This window comes from Homo sapiens, chromosome 20 (genome assembly GCF_000001405.40).
Source record: "Homo sapiens chromosome 20, GRCh38.p14 Primary Assembly".
Classification (NCBI taxonomy): Eukaryota; Metazoa; Chordata; class Mammalia; order Primates; family Hominidae; genus Homo; species Homo sapiens.
This window is the reverse complement of record NC_000020.11, coordinates 41251130-41268794: the sequence shown is the minus strand read 5'-3', so window position 1 is coordinate 41268794 and position 17665 is coordinate 41251130. Positions and strand designations below refer to the sequence as shown.

At 39.4% G+C, this 17665-nt stretch overlaps 1 protein-coding gene across 24 annotated transcripts in view; it reads left to right on the top strand.

Annotated features, from left to right (window-relative positions):
- The window catches only part of ZHX3 (zinc fingers and homeoboxes 3), a 139277-nt gene that overhangs the window by 48937 nt on the left and 72675 nt on the right, over positions 1–17665 (top strand). For 4 of the 24 annotated variants that reach the window (NM_001384322.1, NM_001384323.1, XM_047440046.1 and 1 more), the window contains exon 3: positions 1183–1332. The exons of 17 other annotated variants lie outside the window; for them this stretch is intronic. The gene's annotated coding sequence lies outside the window, so the exon portion shown is untranslated. Of the gene's footprint in view, positions 1–1182; positions 1333–14159; positions 14208–17665 lie in introns of all 24 variants that reach the window. 3 more of the 24 variants (XM_047440044.1, XM_047440042.1, XM_047440041.1) reach the window with 2 other exon arrangements.

Genomic DNA, 17665 nt, shown 5'->3' with positions numbered 1-17665 from the left:
CTAAAAATCTGCATTGAATCTACAACTTCGATGATTTCTTTGATCATCTGATAGGAATCTGTTATAGGTTGACCATTGAGATCATAAGAGTATCCTGTGTTGTGTCTCTCTATGATGTGCAGGGTGAGTCAAAGTGTCAGCTTTTAGTTTGAGTGCAGAACATACACTTGATTGACTTGAAAAACTAGAAAACTAATTTGAATACCAATTATTCAAGCCATATTCTCAGGTTACAATATATGTGACACTACACTTATCTCTGGGATCTGTGGAATAGGAAACCTTTTAAAAAATGATCTAGTGTATTTAATGATGGACATATATTCACAGTAGACTATTAAAAAGCAGTTACAAAACATATTAAAATTTAAATTGGGAAAACTTTTTTTAATGCTAAACTTAATACGGAAAGCAAAGCACACTAGCAAACAATCATTGTAAATAGAGCCTTCATTTGATGAAATAGATATGCCTTAGTAAGCTGTTTAAATAAAGCATGTCTTTTACATTATTTTCCATTATTAAGAAACTTTGTCCAGTAAGCTGAATAGAAATTTTTAGAAGGAGAGAAAGAAATGGAGGCAGAGTCATTGATGATGTGTGATGCTGGAAGTTCTGTACAACTTCTTTAGGCAACTCCATGGCAACATCTCTCTCTCCTCCTTCACAAGCCTGGGGACCACCAGCCCGTGGGAATTTTCCCACAAATGTAACTTCTGGAACTTTCTGTCTTGTGGTGGGCACCTTCCCTATGCTTCAGTAATGGATTGCTGCAGGCGTAATCTTGGGTAGTCTACCTTGATCATTATTTAACTTTGAGTCTTAAAATTGAGTAAAACTGTTTAGTGGCTTTATATATCAATCCTCTAAACCAAAAATGTCATAAGACAAGTTTCTTACGTACACATCTCCTAGTGCTCACTCTCATACTGACTGCTTCATCACACTGGTCTGCTGGCCATGCTTCAGTCTGCCCAGAAATATTCCTGCTTTGGAGCCATTGTTCTTGTTCCCTCTGCCTGGAATCATCTTCTCCCAGATAGCCAAATGGCTACTGCCCTCCTTCTTCAGGTTTCTGCTCCAAAGTTAAACTTTCAAAGATGCCTTGTATGGTACCCTCAATTGAAAATGATACCTTACCATACCCTGGAATCACTCTATCCTTCTCTATTTTTTCTATAGCATTTATCACCATCCAGCCACTGTAGATAAATTTGATTGGCTGTCTCCCTGCCTTCCCTTCACACCCAGTACCTTCCCTGCCTGAAATCCTCATTGAGGGCAAGAACTTTATCCCCAGGATCTAAACCAGTGCTGGACAATAGATGCTCAGTAAGTATTTGTTGGGTGAATGAATGAAGAATGCTTACGTTAGGAGGATTAAGTAGATTTGGAGATCATGTGATTGGATTGAAAATGATTAACAGGGAAAATGTTGTGGAGGAAGTATCTTAAACTGTATGTTAAAAGCCTGCTAAACAGCGGGGCTTAAAAATCATTGTCAAACATAGCTCTTTGATCTAGAAGGTAATTTATAGCCACTTTAGGAATATAAATGGCAGATTAGATATTTACACTAAAAAAAAGACATAAAATATTAAACTAATGTCTAGGAAAGCTTTGGATGGTAATAAATTGGGAGGGTTAGGCCAGGTGCCGGTGGCTCACGCCTGTAATCCCAGCACTCTGGGAGGCCAAGGCAGGTGGATCTCTTGAGGTCAGGAGTTCAAGACCAGCCTGGCCAATATGGTGAAACCCCATCTGTACTAAAAATCCAAAAAAAATTATCAGGCATGGTGGCAGGCGCCTGTAATCCCAGCTACTTGGGAGGCTGAGGTGCGAGAATTACTTGAACCCGGGAGGCGGAGGTTGCAGTGAGCCGAGACGGCACTCCAGTCTGGACAACAGAGTGAGATTCCATCTTAAAAAAAAAAAAAAAAAAAAAAAAAAGGCCGGGCACGGTGGCTCACGCCTGTAATCCTAGCACTTTGGGAGGCCGAGGCAGGCAGATCACGACGTCAGGAGATCGAGACCATCCTGGCTAACACGGTGAAACCCTGTCTCTACTAAAAATACAAAAAATTAGCTGGGCGCAGTGGCGCGCGCCTGTAGTCCCAACTACTCGGGAGGCTGAGGCAGGAGAATGGCGTGAACCTGGGGGGCGGAGCTTGCAGTGAGCCGAGATCGCACCACTGCACTCCAGCCTGGGCGACAGAACAAGACTCCATCTAAAAAAAAAAAAAAAAAGAAAGATTGGGAGATTAACAAAAAGAGTTACAGTGGTTCAGGTGAGAGGTGACCTGAAAGAAGAATATTATGGTCAGGATAGAGGGAACAGGTGGGCCCTAGCAATGCCTGTGGAGTTAGATAACTGGTAGGATGGGGACATTGCATATGACTGGAGGTTGCAGTGGGGGAAGGTTAATGGGAAGGTCAAAGGCGAACTGGAATCACTGAGAGTTTTCTTATATGTCAGTCTCTGTACCTACTACCTGGTGACACTGAGCCATCTTGACTAACTCCAGCTTACCTCATTTCTGCCACTCTGCTTCTACCTATGAAGTATGATGTTTATTCTACACGTCATGCTTTTTCTCTTTCACCTTTAAAGTCTTTTAAAATTAATCTTTCACTTTTAGAGGCACATACCATCTGACTCAGCAATTAATACAGCATTTCTAGAAATTTATCTTACATATGACCTCATACAGGTATGCAGGTAATCCTAGAGTACCTCGGCCTCTATGAAATCCTCACACATGCCTCCTACCTCAGTAACACTTGGAAAGAGAATAATTATCTATTGCTACCATTGTTCTGTTGTGGCCATGGGTCTTGTCCCCCTCCACTGGTTCTGGTATTAACTGCCCACCTTTTTGCCTAAACTGCAGTGGACTAGAGACATTTGTACAGGAGCTATGTCTTTTCTCAGGTTTCTTCTTTTGAACATTTGTTCCTTATGGCAGTCTTTCTCTACCCATTTGTGAATATTATGAACGGTTAATAGTAATACTTTTTTACTTTGTATTTTTAAAGATATTTAGGTAATTAAGTATATAGTAGTGGGCATCTCTACTTGGCTACACATTAAAATCACCTCAGAAGCTTTATAAAATTCTAATCCCTGGTCTCACCCTCAGAGACTCTGAGACAATTTGTCTTGGGGGAGGTGTGGACATCAACATTTAAAAAGCTGCACAATGAATTTCATGTGCACTCAAGCTTGAGGACCAGGAATACTATAAGTTTTTCTGTACTGATCATGACTGTGGTCACTTTAAATTTATCGTAACGGCCGGGCGCGGTGGCTCACGCCTGTCATCCCAGCACTTTGGGAGGCCGAGGTAGGAGGATTATCTGAGGTCGGGAGTTTGAGACCAGCCTGACCAACATGGAGAAACCCTATCTCTACTAAAAATACAAAATTAGCTGGGCGTGGTGGTGGGTGCCTGTAATCCCAGCTGTTCGGGAGGCTGAGGCAGGAGAATTGCTTGAACCCGGGTGGCGGGGGTTGCGGTGAGCCAAGATTGTATCATTGCACTCCAGCCTGGCCAACAAAAGCGAAACTCCGTTTCAAAAAAAAAAAAAAAAAATTTATCGTAATGACTTCAGTGATTCCTTTGGGTTTTATAAGTTTACAATGGTGTTATATTTTTTAAAAAGTATATATAACATCTGCCTTTATTGTATTTGTGTCTCTCCTTCATTTTTATGTTGCTTTTTGTTGGAAGGAACTTCTGATACTGTGTTAATAGTGATGATAAAATGCTTATTTTGCGCTTATTTTTAATGACTGCATAGTTTGTTTTTTCCCTTGAAGTATAATTGACATTTGGTTCAATAAATAGGTACTCAATCAGGGTAAGAAAATATACCTTTATTATTAGTTTTAGAATTTTAAAATTAAGAATAGGTGTTAGATTTTAACAAATGAATGTTTTTATTTCTGTTGACACAAATAAAAATTTTAAAAATCTGTTTCTAGGTTCTATTTACTATTCTTTTAAATTTTTGAGCGTAAGTTCGGAGTGAGCTTTGTGTGCTTTGTGTATAGTTTTCTCTCTTTCCGTTTCTTTTAGCCAGTTTTAGGGTCAGATTAGTAGAATAATTAGATAACCTATATCTTGATCCATTTTTGGCATGATTTCTATAACATGAATCATTTGTTCCTGGAGACTGAAAGAATTGACTACTTTTTAGGGGTATAATTATTTGATTTTTTTTTTTTTTTTTTTGAGATGGAGTTTCACTCTTGTTGCCCAGGCTGGAGTGCAGTGGCGTGATCTTGGCTCACTGCAGCCACTGCCTCCTGGGTTCAAGTGATTCTCCCATCTCAGCCTCCCAAGTAGCTGAGATTACAGGCATGTGCCACCATGCCCGGCTAACTTTTTTTTTTTTTTTTTTTTTTTGTATTTTTGGTAGAGACGGGGTTTCTCCATGTTGGTCAGGCTGGTCTTGAACTCCTGACCTCGTGATCCACCCGCCTCGGCCTCCCACAGTGCTGGGATTTCTGCCCCAAAATGCCTCATAATTTTTTTTTTGTATTTTAGTGGAGATGGGGTTTCACCATGTTGCCGAGGCTGGTCACGAACTCCTGAGCTCAGGCAATCTGCCCGTCTCGGCCTCCCAAAGTGCTAGGATTACTGGTGTGAGCCACCGCGCCTGGCCTAGTTATTTGATTTTTAAAAGATGTTGGTCTGGTTAGGTATTTTATTTTTGCCAGTGTTAGAATTTTACATTTTTGATTAAAAACTCATCTATTTAGTTTTATCCAAATTTATTAACACACATATTCTCTTACAATTTTATTGCTTCTTTTTGTGTCCTGTTTTTCCAATTTTATGTTTCCTTTTTTTGCACTTGCCAGTAGTATCAATTTTAGTCTATTCACAGCAACTTTTAGTTGAAATATAAAACTTTAAAAAATACAAAAGGATGTAGTGAAAAGTCAGTTTCCCATTCATTGTTATTCCTTGGCCAAATAGCTCCCCTCTCTTAGGCAGCAGCTCCTGTCAGTTTCTTATGAATCCTTCAAAAGTTTTTTGGTTTTCAATTTCAAAATATCTAATTTATTTCTTTTTTAAAAAAAAATCCTCAGCCGGGAGTGGTGGCTCATGCCTGTAATCCTAGAACTTTGGGAGGCTGAGACAGGCAGATTGCCTGAGCTCAGGAGTTCGTGACCAGCCTCAGCAACATGGTGAAACCCCGTCTCTAGTAAAATACAAAACAAAAATTAGCCGGGCATGGTGGCATACACGTGTAGTCCCAGCTACTCTGGAGGCTGAGGCAGGAGAATTGCTTGAACCCGGGAGGCAGAGGTTGCAGTGAGCCGAGATCACGCCACTGCACTGCAGCCTGGGCAACAGAGCGAGACTCCATCTCAAAAAAAAAAAAAAAAATTCCTCTAATGCTTCTGTTTGTTTCTCAAGATTATTAGTTGTGTATTTAGTTTTTATTTTTATTTTTCGGTAGCACAGAAAGCAATACTGCTCTCTATTCTTTTTTCGTGGTCTATAATTTCTTATGTAATGATTTTGTTACATTTTCCAACTTCATTATCATTATTTCATAGCCTATCTTGCAAACAGAATGTTGTCGGATTTTGTCTGTTTAACTTATCTTTGAAGGTTCTATATCTTATATGGGAATTTATACTCTTTAATTTATTATTGCTATTGTATTATGTTTTCTGTATATTGTATGTTTCTTTGTTTTTGTATTTGTTGTTTCTTCTCCATTATGTCTTCTGTATTACAGAACATTCTTTGCTTTCTTTAGCTTTTAAACAAATTTTAAAGGTGAACAATCTTTCAAATCTCTTAGTGCTAAACATATTTTTCTGAATTTATTTACTAAAATCAAAGCAAAAGCAAGAACTTGCCTTTTCTTCCATATAAGGAAATTTAATTTGCCCCTTTTTTGGCATCTTCTCTTCCTATTCCTTATCTACCCTATCTCTCCAATTTTTTTTTCACCCCTTAATGTTTGTTCTGTGAAGTGTCTTAATTCTTCTGAGCCTCAGCCTGGTACTCATAAGTATTTTGCTATTTTTTGATTCAGTTAGTTAACAACCACTGAGGTCTCACTCTGAGCCAACAGATCCTGAGCTGGGTGCAGGAGATACAAAAGTAAAGGCAATTCTGTCCCTGCCTTCAAGGTTGATGAGGTGGCATGATGTGCAAATCAGCCAACAATGGCAAAAGATGTGATGTGTCAGGTGTACTGGATACAGAGAGAGAGAGAAAGAGAGAGGGAGTGGTGTTTGGTGAGTCAGTGCAGGCACCCTGGGAGCTAAATGTTACTGTATGTACCAGCAGGGCTTTGTGAGAAAGAGGATAAAGTGAGAGGGCAAAAGTCTGAAGGTGCACAGGTACATCACCCTGTTCTTGGGATAGTGGCTGGAGATGATGGAGATGAGGCTGGACAAGGGATGTTGGGGCCAGATTCTGAAGCACCTTGAATGTTGGGCGACAAGTTTCAGTTTGTATCCTGTGGTCTGTACCAGAGGGTTTAAAGCAAGGGAGTGCCATGTTCTAGTTCATTTTTTAGGAAGATAATTCTTGCTGTCATGTGAAGCACAGCCTGCAGGGAGGGAAATCAGTTAAGCAGCTGTGGCAGTTGTCCAGATAAGAGGTGAGAACAACTTGAGCAAGGAGATAGCAGTGATGATGGAGAAGAGGAGATATGAGGAATTTCGGGGCAGAATCTAAAATTACCAATGCCTGCCATGGTGGAGATTGGGAATTAGGGCATGCCTCAGAGGAGTTTTTGTTTGTTAGTTTTAGGGAAGGTGGTGATAGATGGTGGAACTACTGACCAACTTGGGGAGTGGCATAAAGGGTGTGGATTGGGTGCAGAGACTAATTTGCAGAGAAGCAGGGGAAAGTTTATTTTAGGACTTGTTGAATGTCTAGGAAAACATATCTAGGAGCAGTTGGAAATATTGATCAGAAACTCAGATGAGATGTTGGGGCTGGAGATAAAGGTGTGAGACTCACTTGTACCAAGGAGGATATCAAAGCCATAAGAAGAGAGATAAAATCCCTCAAGTACAGCATGTACAGAAATTAAAAGGCCTTAGGATTGGCTGTTGGCAAAGATCAGTCTTTATGTTCAGGAAATTGAACATATTGAGCACTGTAATACATGTCCAGCATGGGGTGGCTAGAGCTTTTTCAGATGGCTGGCTTAGTCTTCACAACAGGCCCAAATGCCACATCCATGCTAGAGAAAGAAGTAGAGGAGATACAGAAAAGTGGTGTGGAAGAGGTGTTTTCCTTCAGGGGCAGTGGCCAGCAATGCCAGCATGCTCAGTTCCCACACAACCTAAGTCAGCTCCCTCTGGAGTCAGGAGGCAAGGAAATGCAGTTTGACTACCACTCTAGGAAACAGTTTGGTAGATGAATGATGAGGCCACTTGGTCTGGGGGTGGCATCATTTTTGTTTGTTTACAGATGACAGCTTGAGGTATTCTGATTTGCTGAGCTTCTTTGAGGTTTTATATCTTAGATTGTCTCATTTCTAGACTTCTGTTATTTAAAAAAATAAAAAATAACTCTACTAGATTCCCCTTCATGTAATCTATTTGTTAACTTGTTTACTTGGAGTTTTTTTTCTCTCTTCCTTCTCACATTGTTTTCAGATGTTTCCAGGTCATGTCCCAGGGATCCTCTTTGCTAATGATGTGTGAGACCCTGGGAGTGCCTTCTTGTTTCTTCTTTCAGGTCTTTCCATGCTGAAAGTAGTTTCCTTCTGTCATTTGAATCTTTTGTTCAATTCAGTTTCCTCCAGAACTCTAATTCATAGATTGTATCTTTCCTGTAGATGACAATTTGCCTGTGCATTCTTAGGCAACAGGATTGTGTAGTGCTAAGAGCATGGGCCCGGAACCAGACTGCCTGAGTTTAACTCCTGGCTCTACCAGCTACTAGCTGAGTAACCTTGGGCAAGTTATTAGCTTCTTTTGTGCCTCAATTTTCTCATCTGTAAACTGGAGGCAAAATTAGAATCTACTACCAAGGGTTGTTGTGAAGGTTAAATGAACTACCACTTGTAGTGCTTAGAAAGAAAGGTGTCCAGTGTGTGTTCCACCATTGTTAGTTGCTTGTGTTGCCATTGTTGTTACTGTTCTAGGGAAAAATGGTGCGAGAGATAACCTCTTCCTCATTGTCATTTGGACCACACAAATAGTGATAGATTTCAGGCTGTTGGAGCCTTACTTGATGAACTAGAAGTAGGCAAATCTTGGGAATTGGGTTGTATTCCCTCAAGTTTTTAAGGAGTTCAACAAAGAACAATTTTAACCTTGGTCCAGAAGTGACATCTGGAGTTCAAGTGTCCACTATGTGACCTCATCTACCCCATGGCATTGTTCAAGTGATGTCTCTTAAAAACAGTTTGTAAAAGTTTTATTTCTACCTTACAAAAAGCTCTTCCAAAAATTTCTATTTTTGCTCTTGTAGTTGTCCAATCATCTCATCTGTAGATAACATATTTAACTTCCTATGCAATATATATGCCTACCTTATTTCAGCTGTCTTGCTGCATTGGCCAGAACTTCAAAACTATTTAAGATGGTAAAAGTGGCCTGTCTTTTATTGCCTTTTTTTTTTTTCACATTTGGCTTAGAGAGATGTTTTATATCATCTTTCTTTACCTATATGCCTTTTGTTCTTAGTATTTTTATTAGAAATGAGTATTAGCAAATTACATTATTGTATCCATGGAGAGTTTCATTAGGTTTTTCTCATTTAACTCTTTGATTTTGTGTCATGTGTATCTTGAACTATCATTCCATTCTGGGCAAAATTCTTATCAGTTTGGTTATTCTTTTATCATTAAATTATTTCTGCCAGTCATTAAACATTTTAAAATCTATATTCATTCAGAGTTGTTGCCTATGAAGAGGGTTTTAAAAATCTTATTGGGGTTTTTAAAGTTGTACTCTTTGTAAAAAGTTCAAATAATATAATAGTTACAGACTAAATAAATAATAAAATTCACCCGATAATCCTATTCTCCCAGAGTCATTGATGTTGGGTTTATTGTGAAACTTTCCAGATTTTTTTCTATGCATTTACATATATATAGGTTTCATGCCCTCCCTAATTCTTTTCTTTTTCTCTTCTTTCTCCCTCCCTCTCCATCCCTCTCTCCCTTCATCTTACCAAAAATGGAGTCATGCAAAGTCCTGAAATGTTTTCATTTAATAGTATATCATGGGAGTCTTTCTATGTCCATTCACATGTATCTACTTCATTCTTTGTAGGGTATTCCATAGTGTGGAGTCATCATAATTTAGCCAGTTCCCTGTTGGTGGATGTTTAAATTATTCCCAATTTTTTACTAGCACTACATGAAATGTTTTTGGTACATGTTTGTATGTGCAAGTATTTTATAGGCTAGATTACCAGAAACAGAATTGTGGATCAAAGGTGATAAATAGAATAGGGGTTCTTAACCTAGTCTGTGAGTCCCTATAGTTGTATGCAAAATGTCGTGTGTACAATATATTGTGCATTTTCTGAGAATGAGAGTCTATAGATCAGATTTACAAAGAAGTCTTTGGCCTCCCAAAAAGAAAGAATTACCTGCACACAAAATTAGGCAACTTGCCCAAAGTCCATGGTGGAACTGTGATTTAAGCTCATGGTATCTGACTCCATTGGTATTAAAAGAGGAAAAAAGGTTCATATGGAATATACATCAAATTATCTATAGTGCTAATCTCTGAAGGTGGGGTTATGAGAGCTCCACAATTATATTTTTTTAAACAATGAAAATGTGGTTTTTTTTTAATAAGCAGAAGAAAAGTAAAATTCACTGAACAAACAAAAGTAATCAGAGTTGCTTGTGTGGCAGAAATAGTTAGGGGAAATCATATCAACTAATCTCTTGGAAATTTTAAGCAGAGTGAGCAGGTTTGTGAATGAGGGAGCCAGTAGTCCTTCAGGAAAGCTTTGAAAGAATTTGCATCATCTCAAACTACCTCAACGTGTTAATTAACTATAAAGAAAGAGGTCATAAATTGGTAGTGGAAAAACCCAGCAGAAACCACCTTAACCAAGAGGTCAAGACCAACACCACCAGCAATAAGACATATCAACATCATGAGCCCCATGATATGATGTATTAAGAACACAACATCATTTCTGTGGTATTTTTGCCAAGAATGCATAACCTCAGAGTAATCATGAGAAAACATCAGGCAAACCCGAATCAAGGGACAGTCAACAAAATAACTGTTTAATACTCTTAAAAGTTGTCAAGAACGTGAATGATAAGGAAAGAACAAGGAACTGTCACAGGCTGCAGGAGACTAAGGATAAATAACAACTAAATACAGCGGGGATTCTGAATAGGATTCTGGAACAGTAAAGGGACATCGGTAGAAAAAACCGGTACGACTTGAATAAGGTCTTTGGTTTAGTTAATAGTATTAATATTAAAGTTCTGGTTCTGGTAAATATACAATGGTTATGTAAGATGCTAACACTGGGGAAGCTGGGGCCAGGATATATGGAAACTCTGTACGATTTTTGCAACTTTTCTGTAACTCTAAAATTAGCTCAAAATGATTTTTTAAAAGAAATCTTGGCTAGGTGCAGTGGCTCACTCCTGTAATCCCAGCACTTTGGGAGGCCGAGGCGGGTGGATCACCTGAGGTCAGGAGTTTGAGACCAGCCTGGCCAACTTGGTGAAACCTCATCTCTACTAAAAATACAAAAATTATCTGGGCATGGTGGCGGGTGCCTGTAAACCCAGCTACTCAGGTGGCTGAGACAGGAGAATCACTTGAACCTGGGAGGTGGAGGTTGCAGTGAGCTGTGCCACTGTACCCCAGCCTGGCTGACAAGAGCAAAACTCCGTCTCAAAAAAAAAAAGGGTTGGGCGTGGTGGCTAACACCTGTAATCCCAGCACTTTGGGAGGCCAAGGTGGGCAGATCACAAGGTCAGGAGTTCGAGACCAGCCTGGCTAGCATGGTGAAACCCCGTCTCTACTAAAAATACGAAAACTTAGCCAGGCATGGTGGCGTGTGCCTGTAGTCCCAGCTACTAAGGAGGCTGAGGCAGGAGAATTGCTTGAAGCTGGCAGGCGGAGGTTGCAGTGAGCTGAGATCACGCCACTGCACTGCAGCCTGGGCAACAGAGTGAGACTCTGTCTCAAAAAAAAAAAAAAAAAGAAAGAAAAGAAAACAAATCCTGACAAGATCTTATTTTCTATCTCACTTTTAAGAGTCATTGTGGAGTTAGAGAATGAATTTGGACCTGAGTAGAAACTGGATTAAGAATATGAAAGAAAGCTTAGGGTTAAATCCCCTTCTATAAGTGGGTAAAATATGAATGATGACTGTCCACAGTGCTGCCTATAGGCTCATTTTCCAATATGTTTAATTTCCTAGACCTTTTTAAAGGGTACAGTAGTGGAAAGCTACGATGAGAGATTTTCATGAACATTTTATGAGGCTATGATAGCAGAAAATTAGTCAATGCAAGATACTGCACTTACTGGAAAAAAGAAATTCCAAACCAGCTTTATAGAGAATCACAGGTCCCAAGATACCACTTAGTAGCCTTAAGTTCTCTGAAGATGTTGCCTCAGTGTTTGCTGCTGAGGCCAAGATGGCCTGAAAATTGGTGCACATCCATGTGAAGGTGACCACACAATCTTCTGGAGGCATTTGTAGTTGAAGGTCCTTCCTTTGTCATTAGGAAGCAGCCAACCTGAAGCACTATACACAGAAAAATCTTAAAAGCTAGAGGTTTATGCATGTTCTCACTTATAAGTGGGAGCTAAACAATGGGTACAGATGGACATATAGAGTGGAGTAATAGGCATTGGAGGCTCCAAAAGGTGGGAGGGGGCTGAGGGATGAAATACTACCTATTGGGTACAATGTACACTATTTAGATGATGTGGACGCTAAAAGTCCAGATTCACCACTACCTAAATCTATTTTAAAAATGGCAAAAGCTAAGGGTTTTATAACATGTTTAGATGAAGAATGGTGCAAAGGGACAGCAGACGGGAAGTCTGCATGGAGTCTAGGAGGAGTTGGAGTGTGGGACTCTGAGTACACCTGGCTCTGTCCGTGAAGGGAAATGCCATATTGGCCTGGGGCAGACATTCTGATTGCTGCAAGGCTGGGCATGCTAGATACACAGGTTGAAAACCTCCGAAGGGGCTCTAAATTTGTTCCTTATGCAGCAACCTGATTAGTGATTCTGTTTCCTAGATGCTTTGATATTAAGATAGGACAGCTCTGGGTAAATTACGGGAATAGTGAGGCTCCTAGAAAGCTATACCCCTTCTAAAAATGAGGGGAAAAAATCTAATTTGTCTCCATCGAGTTTAGTTGGTATTAAGTCAGTTCTACCCTCACCTAATTAAGAACTGAATAGTCTCTTAATGAATATAAAAAAATTCTCAATTTACAAAGCTGGAGACTAGTCTTATTCTGTCAGTGGGTATTTCTCAGCAACAGTTATATGCCAGGCACTGTATTACACCCTAAAAACATAGCAGTAAGCAAGACAGTCATGGTCCCTGTCCTCATGGAGCTCACAGACAAGGAGATTGTTCCTCCGAGCCTAAATCAGCCAGCACACCTACCTCACTCAAAGGTGCCTCTGCTAAAAAGGCTTGGTTTACACCAAAATAAGTTTGCTTTTTATTTTTCCCTTGAAGTTAAATGTAAAAATAAATTGTTACTATTTTAATTTCCAACAGTGTTGAAAAATGTTTTCATTAATACTTTATATATTTAATTTACATAATTTTGAAGTAGCATTTGGTGCCTTTAATCACAAAACCTGCCCCTGTCCTAGCCACTTCTTTCAGGCTGTGATGTTGAAAACACTTTGGTAAGGCTTAGTGAGTTTGCTCAGTGCCTACAGAAATCAGAAATGTGTTTACCAAGGCATAGTAATCTCTGAGGCCCAGCATGGCCAGCTGGCAGTGGCCAAAGGGAGCCAACTCTTCTCTGCTGCATGGACACCTCTCCCTTCCTGAATTTAAATTCTTGAGTCAGATTCCAAGTTGTAACCTCAAAGTAGTGAAACAACTAGAGTGGCACTAACTCACTCGATTCTACCACAGTGTTAGTAGCCTCTTCCCTGGCCCTTCCTCTAGAGGCTCTGGGACGTATTATTTAGTAGATATGTCCTTGTTGGTAAAATGGTTATGGTTATGAATTCTTTGTTTCTCTATATAAAGAGTGCAGTGGATAAATGATGAGTAGTATTTATTTCTTAGAAAAATCAAGGAAAAGTTACTGGTTGATATAATTAATTTGTAAGACTTAGCTCTACGAACCTGGTGGAGTGTAAGAATAGTTGATCCTTTGCCGGGCGTGGTAGCTCACGCCTGTAATCCCAGCACTTTGGGAGGCTGAGGCAGGTGGATCACGAGGTCAGGAGATCGAGACCATTCTGGTTAACATGGTGAAACCCTGTCTCTGCTAAAAATACAAAAAATTAGCTGGGCATGGTGGCGGGCGCCTGTAGTCCCAGCTACTCAGGAGGCTGAGGCAAGAGAATGGCGTGAACCCAGGAGGCGGAGCTTGCAGTGAGCCGAGATGGCGCCACTGCACTCCAGCCTGGGCGACAGTGCGAGACTCCATGTCAAAAAAAATATATATATATCATTTTTTCAAAATCCTTTTGACCTTTCCAGGCATGAATCTTCCAAACCACCCTGACCTACCTTTTATTAAACTCTAGTAGGGTGGCTATACCATGTCCTTTAACACGCTTTTTCTTCCCCTTTTCTGACTTCAAGTCCCAGTTCATCAATGCCACTCTCCCCTTGAAGTCTTCTTTGGTCTTCCTCACTATTATCAGTCTCCCTCGGGTATCGCCTGCCCATTGTAGTACCTTTCCTGTAGCACACATTCATTATAGGCTGCTTTGTGATCCCTCTGTTGACGTTGCTTTCTTGTCTCCTGCGTTATCAACTCCTTGAGGGGTCAGGGACTTAGGCATTCATCATTATGTCCTCTGAGTATCCAGCATAGTGAATTCGCTAACATCAATTGAGTGTTTACACTGTTTCAGCTACTGGCTAAGCCATATATGCATATATAGCAAAATAATATAAGCAATATAATTGCATTTGTCATAACCCTATGAGAGTGACATGTATTATTCCTATTTTACAGATGAGGAAACTGAGACACAGCTTAAGAATTTTGCCCAAAGCTACAAAGGTAATAAGTGGTAGAGTTGGCATTTGAAGCCAAGCAGTCAGGAGTCAGGGCTTCTAGTCATTACTTGATACTGGAATAATCTGCTGTGATGCCCATGCTCCTTATTGTATGCTATAATGACATAATAACAGCTAGCACTTCTCAAACACCAACTGTGTGGCAGGCACTGAGCTAAGTGCTACATGTTTATTATCTCACTGAATCCTCACAAAAATCCTGTGAGGCACTTGTAATTATTATTCCATAGATGAGGAAACTGAGATGCAGAGGAGCTGGGGTTAAGCAACTTGTACCAGGCAATGCTAGAGTGTGTGCCTAGTACGTGTTGATGGGTGAATAAGCAAATAGATGAATAACAATAGGGATAGGATTTGAGAAGGGAACTAACAAGTATTTTTATTTTTATTTTTGCAGTGTCCCCCTCATGGCATTAAAGTTTTCTTCCTCTCTTCCTTCCCTCCTTCCAGTAGAGACAGGGTCTTGCGATGTTGCCCAGGCTGGTCTCACATTCCTGGGCTCAAGCAATCCTTCTGCCTTAGCCTCCCAAAGTGCTGGGATTACAGGCATGAGCCATTGCGCCTGGCTGAGAACTAACAAGTATTGAGTACCTTCCATTTTTTTTGGTAGGAATTTTTTTCCAACATTTTATTATGAAAAATTTCAAACATACTGCAAAATTGAAAGATTATTACCATGAACAACCATATACCCACTACCAGTTTTCAGCCATCAGTATTTTACTGATTTTGCTTTCCCTCTATCTAGTCATCTGTCATAGTATTTTCGATGCATTCCCCCCTCACTATTTCAGCATGTTTTATCGCTAAGTAGAGGTAATTATTTGTTTATAGGTTTTTTCTTTGGAAGTAAGATGTGTGCATTTTATTGTAGTTAAATCTTAACTGTATATGGACCTGGTTTTGACAAATGGATACACCTATAAAACCCAGACACCTAGAAGGATATTATCATTACCCAGAAAGTTTCCTCATGTCCCTTCCCAGTCAGTGCCCACCCCTACTCCCCAGAGGAATATCTACTATTTTTATATTGTATATTCATATGGCATCCTGTTCTACCAGAATTTAAAGTGACTCACTCTGGTCCATAAAATACAAGAAGAAAACATAAATGAGAAGTAGATGGAAAAAAGAAACCAAGGTAGGAATATTAAATGGAACCAGGAGACCACCTGGAACTTTTATAAGTGATACATTATTCAGTCCTCACAAAAGATATACATAATTATTTCCATTTTATAGACAAAGAGGCTACAAAGCTATGCAGCTAATAAGTAATAGGGACACTTTTACTCCAAGTCCATACTTTTTTTTTTTTTTTTACTGTAGTCCCAAAAACCAAGACAACAGGTAAAATAAAAGCTTATTTTAACTGTGAATGTGGTCTCAAATAATATACGCTAAAGTATTTGCAAAATTGTGTTTCCTCTTCTTGTTGGTACTTTGACCATGAGAGATGGCAAGGGTGGGGGCACTAAAATAGTCCTGCAGTCCTTACAAATTTCCTTAAGGTCAAGGTTGGCTTTGGTTTATCCTGTGTGGCCCTAGAGATGGGATTCCATGTCCTCAGTTATAGAAAAAGACAACTTTTCCAGGACTGGTGATAAGAGTGAGAAGTCTTGAAATGTCCTGTCGACTGTTAATTAGGACTATAGCAACATCAACAAGGAGGCATCTTACATATAACAGACTCCTGGCCAGAGTTTTCAGTTTTGACTTTAATGGGGTTCGTTTGTTGTGTTGAGGAAGAGAAAAGATAACATTTTATAAAAGAATTATAAACCTCTAATAGGGGACCTTAGAAATCTGCCTTCTATATTCTGTGTTGTCTCCTTTATAATAATATATTGTATATATAAGTAATGGGTGAGGAAGAACTGAAGATTACTTTAGAATTTCTTACTTAAAATGCCAGAAAAGGGATTGGGCATGTTATATGGTAGGAAGGCTGTCACAAGACTCCTGGATAAAGTTAGAGAGAAACTGAAAAATAAGATGGGCATGTTACAGTTAGACTTACTTGGCAGTATAAAATGAAGACTTTCCTCTTCTGGGCTGTGGCCACCAGCATCGCGGGATGACACCTGGGTTTGGCTCTGTTGGGCCATAGGGGACTAAGACGTACTCACATGGTCTCAGGTGATGGATTAAGAAAACACAGGAACTAGCTCAGTGGCGAGGCCTAAGAAGACCTAGAGCAATGACTCTGGAAACCACTAGAAGTGAGGCAGGCATCCAGTAGTCCTGCTCTACTGTCTGTACTGTCTTCTCTCTAGCCCCTGTCCCCTATCCCTCTGCTCCCTAACTTCTCATTTCCCACTCCCAGCCCCTCCTCCCTGGATCCCATACCCAAAGTCTGAAAAGAGGACATTTCCTGGTCTTTCAGGCCTTCTGCCCTGTGCCTCTGGTCTTTTGGAGGGTAAGGCAGGTATAGACAGCCAACTCACCAGTAGAAAGATCCACATTAATGGTGGCTAGCAATGATAAAGACTATTTCCTCCTCCCTAGGCAGCAATACAGTTATCTTGAATAGACTGCTTTATTTGGAAAAAACAACATTTTTTAAGTTATAAAAGCCATTCTTTCTTATTGTAGATAATCTGAAAAACATAGGAAAGAATAATGAAGATAATTGAGATTCCCTTAGTGATATCTTGATATCATTCCTTTTAGGTATTAATTTAGAAATTGCTTACATACAGTGTAAAGCCATGTTATATATATATATATATTTTGTATCTCACTTTTAGGATATTTATGTATTTATTTATCATGTCTTATCCAAATATTTTTCTGTATCAAAAATGATAAGCATAATGTAAAATAAGCATTGCTATTCTATCTATTCTATAGACAGTACTCTACTTTTAGCTTAACTATTTTGTTGAATTTGAAGTGAGTTTTTGTGAACAGCATATAGTTGGGTTGTATTTTTATTCTACTCTGCCAGTCTTTGCCTTTTAGTTGGTGTATTTAGATCATTTATCTTTAAGCTAATTATTGACATATTAGAGCTTTAATCTGCCATTTATTATTTACTGTTTCTTTTCTTGTCTTTCTCTGGGTTACTTGAACATTTTGAGAGGTTTTTATCTTGACTTTCTAATAGTTTTTTTAGTGTATTTCTTTGTATTATTTTCTTAGCAGTTGCTCTGAGTATTACAGTATACCTATGTGACTTACTGTAGTCTACTATGATCAGTATTTTACCACTTTGAGTGAAATGTGGAAACCTGATTTCCATTCAGGTCCCTTTACCTTCCCCCTTTTAATTTTTAATTTTTTTAAGACACAGAGTCTTGCTATGTTGCCCAGGGTAGAAGTGAACTTCTAGACTCAAGCAATATTCCTGCTTTAGCCTCCCAAATAGCTGGGACTACAGGAGGATAATCTATATATATATATATCTCCCCATATTTCTGCCTTTTCTGTTGTTTT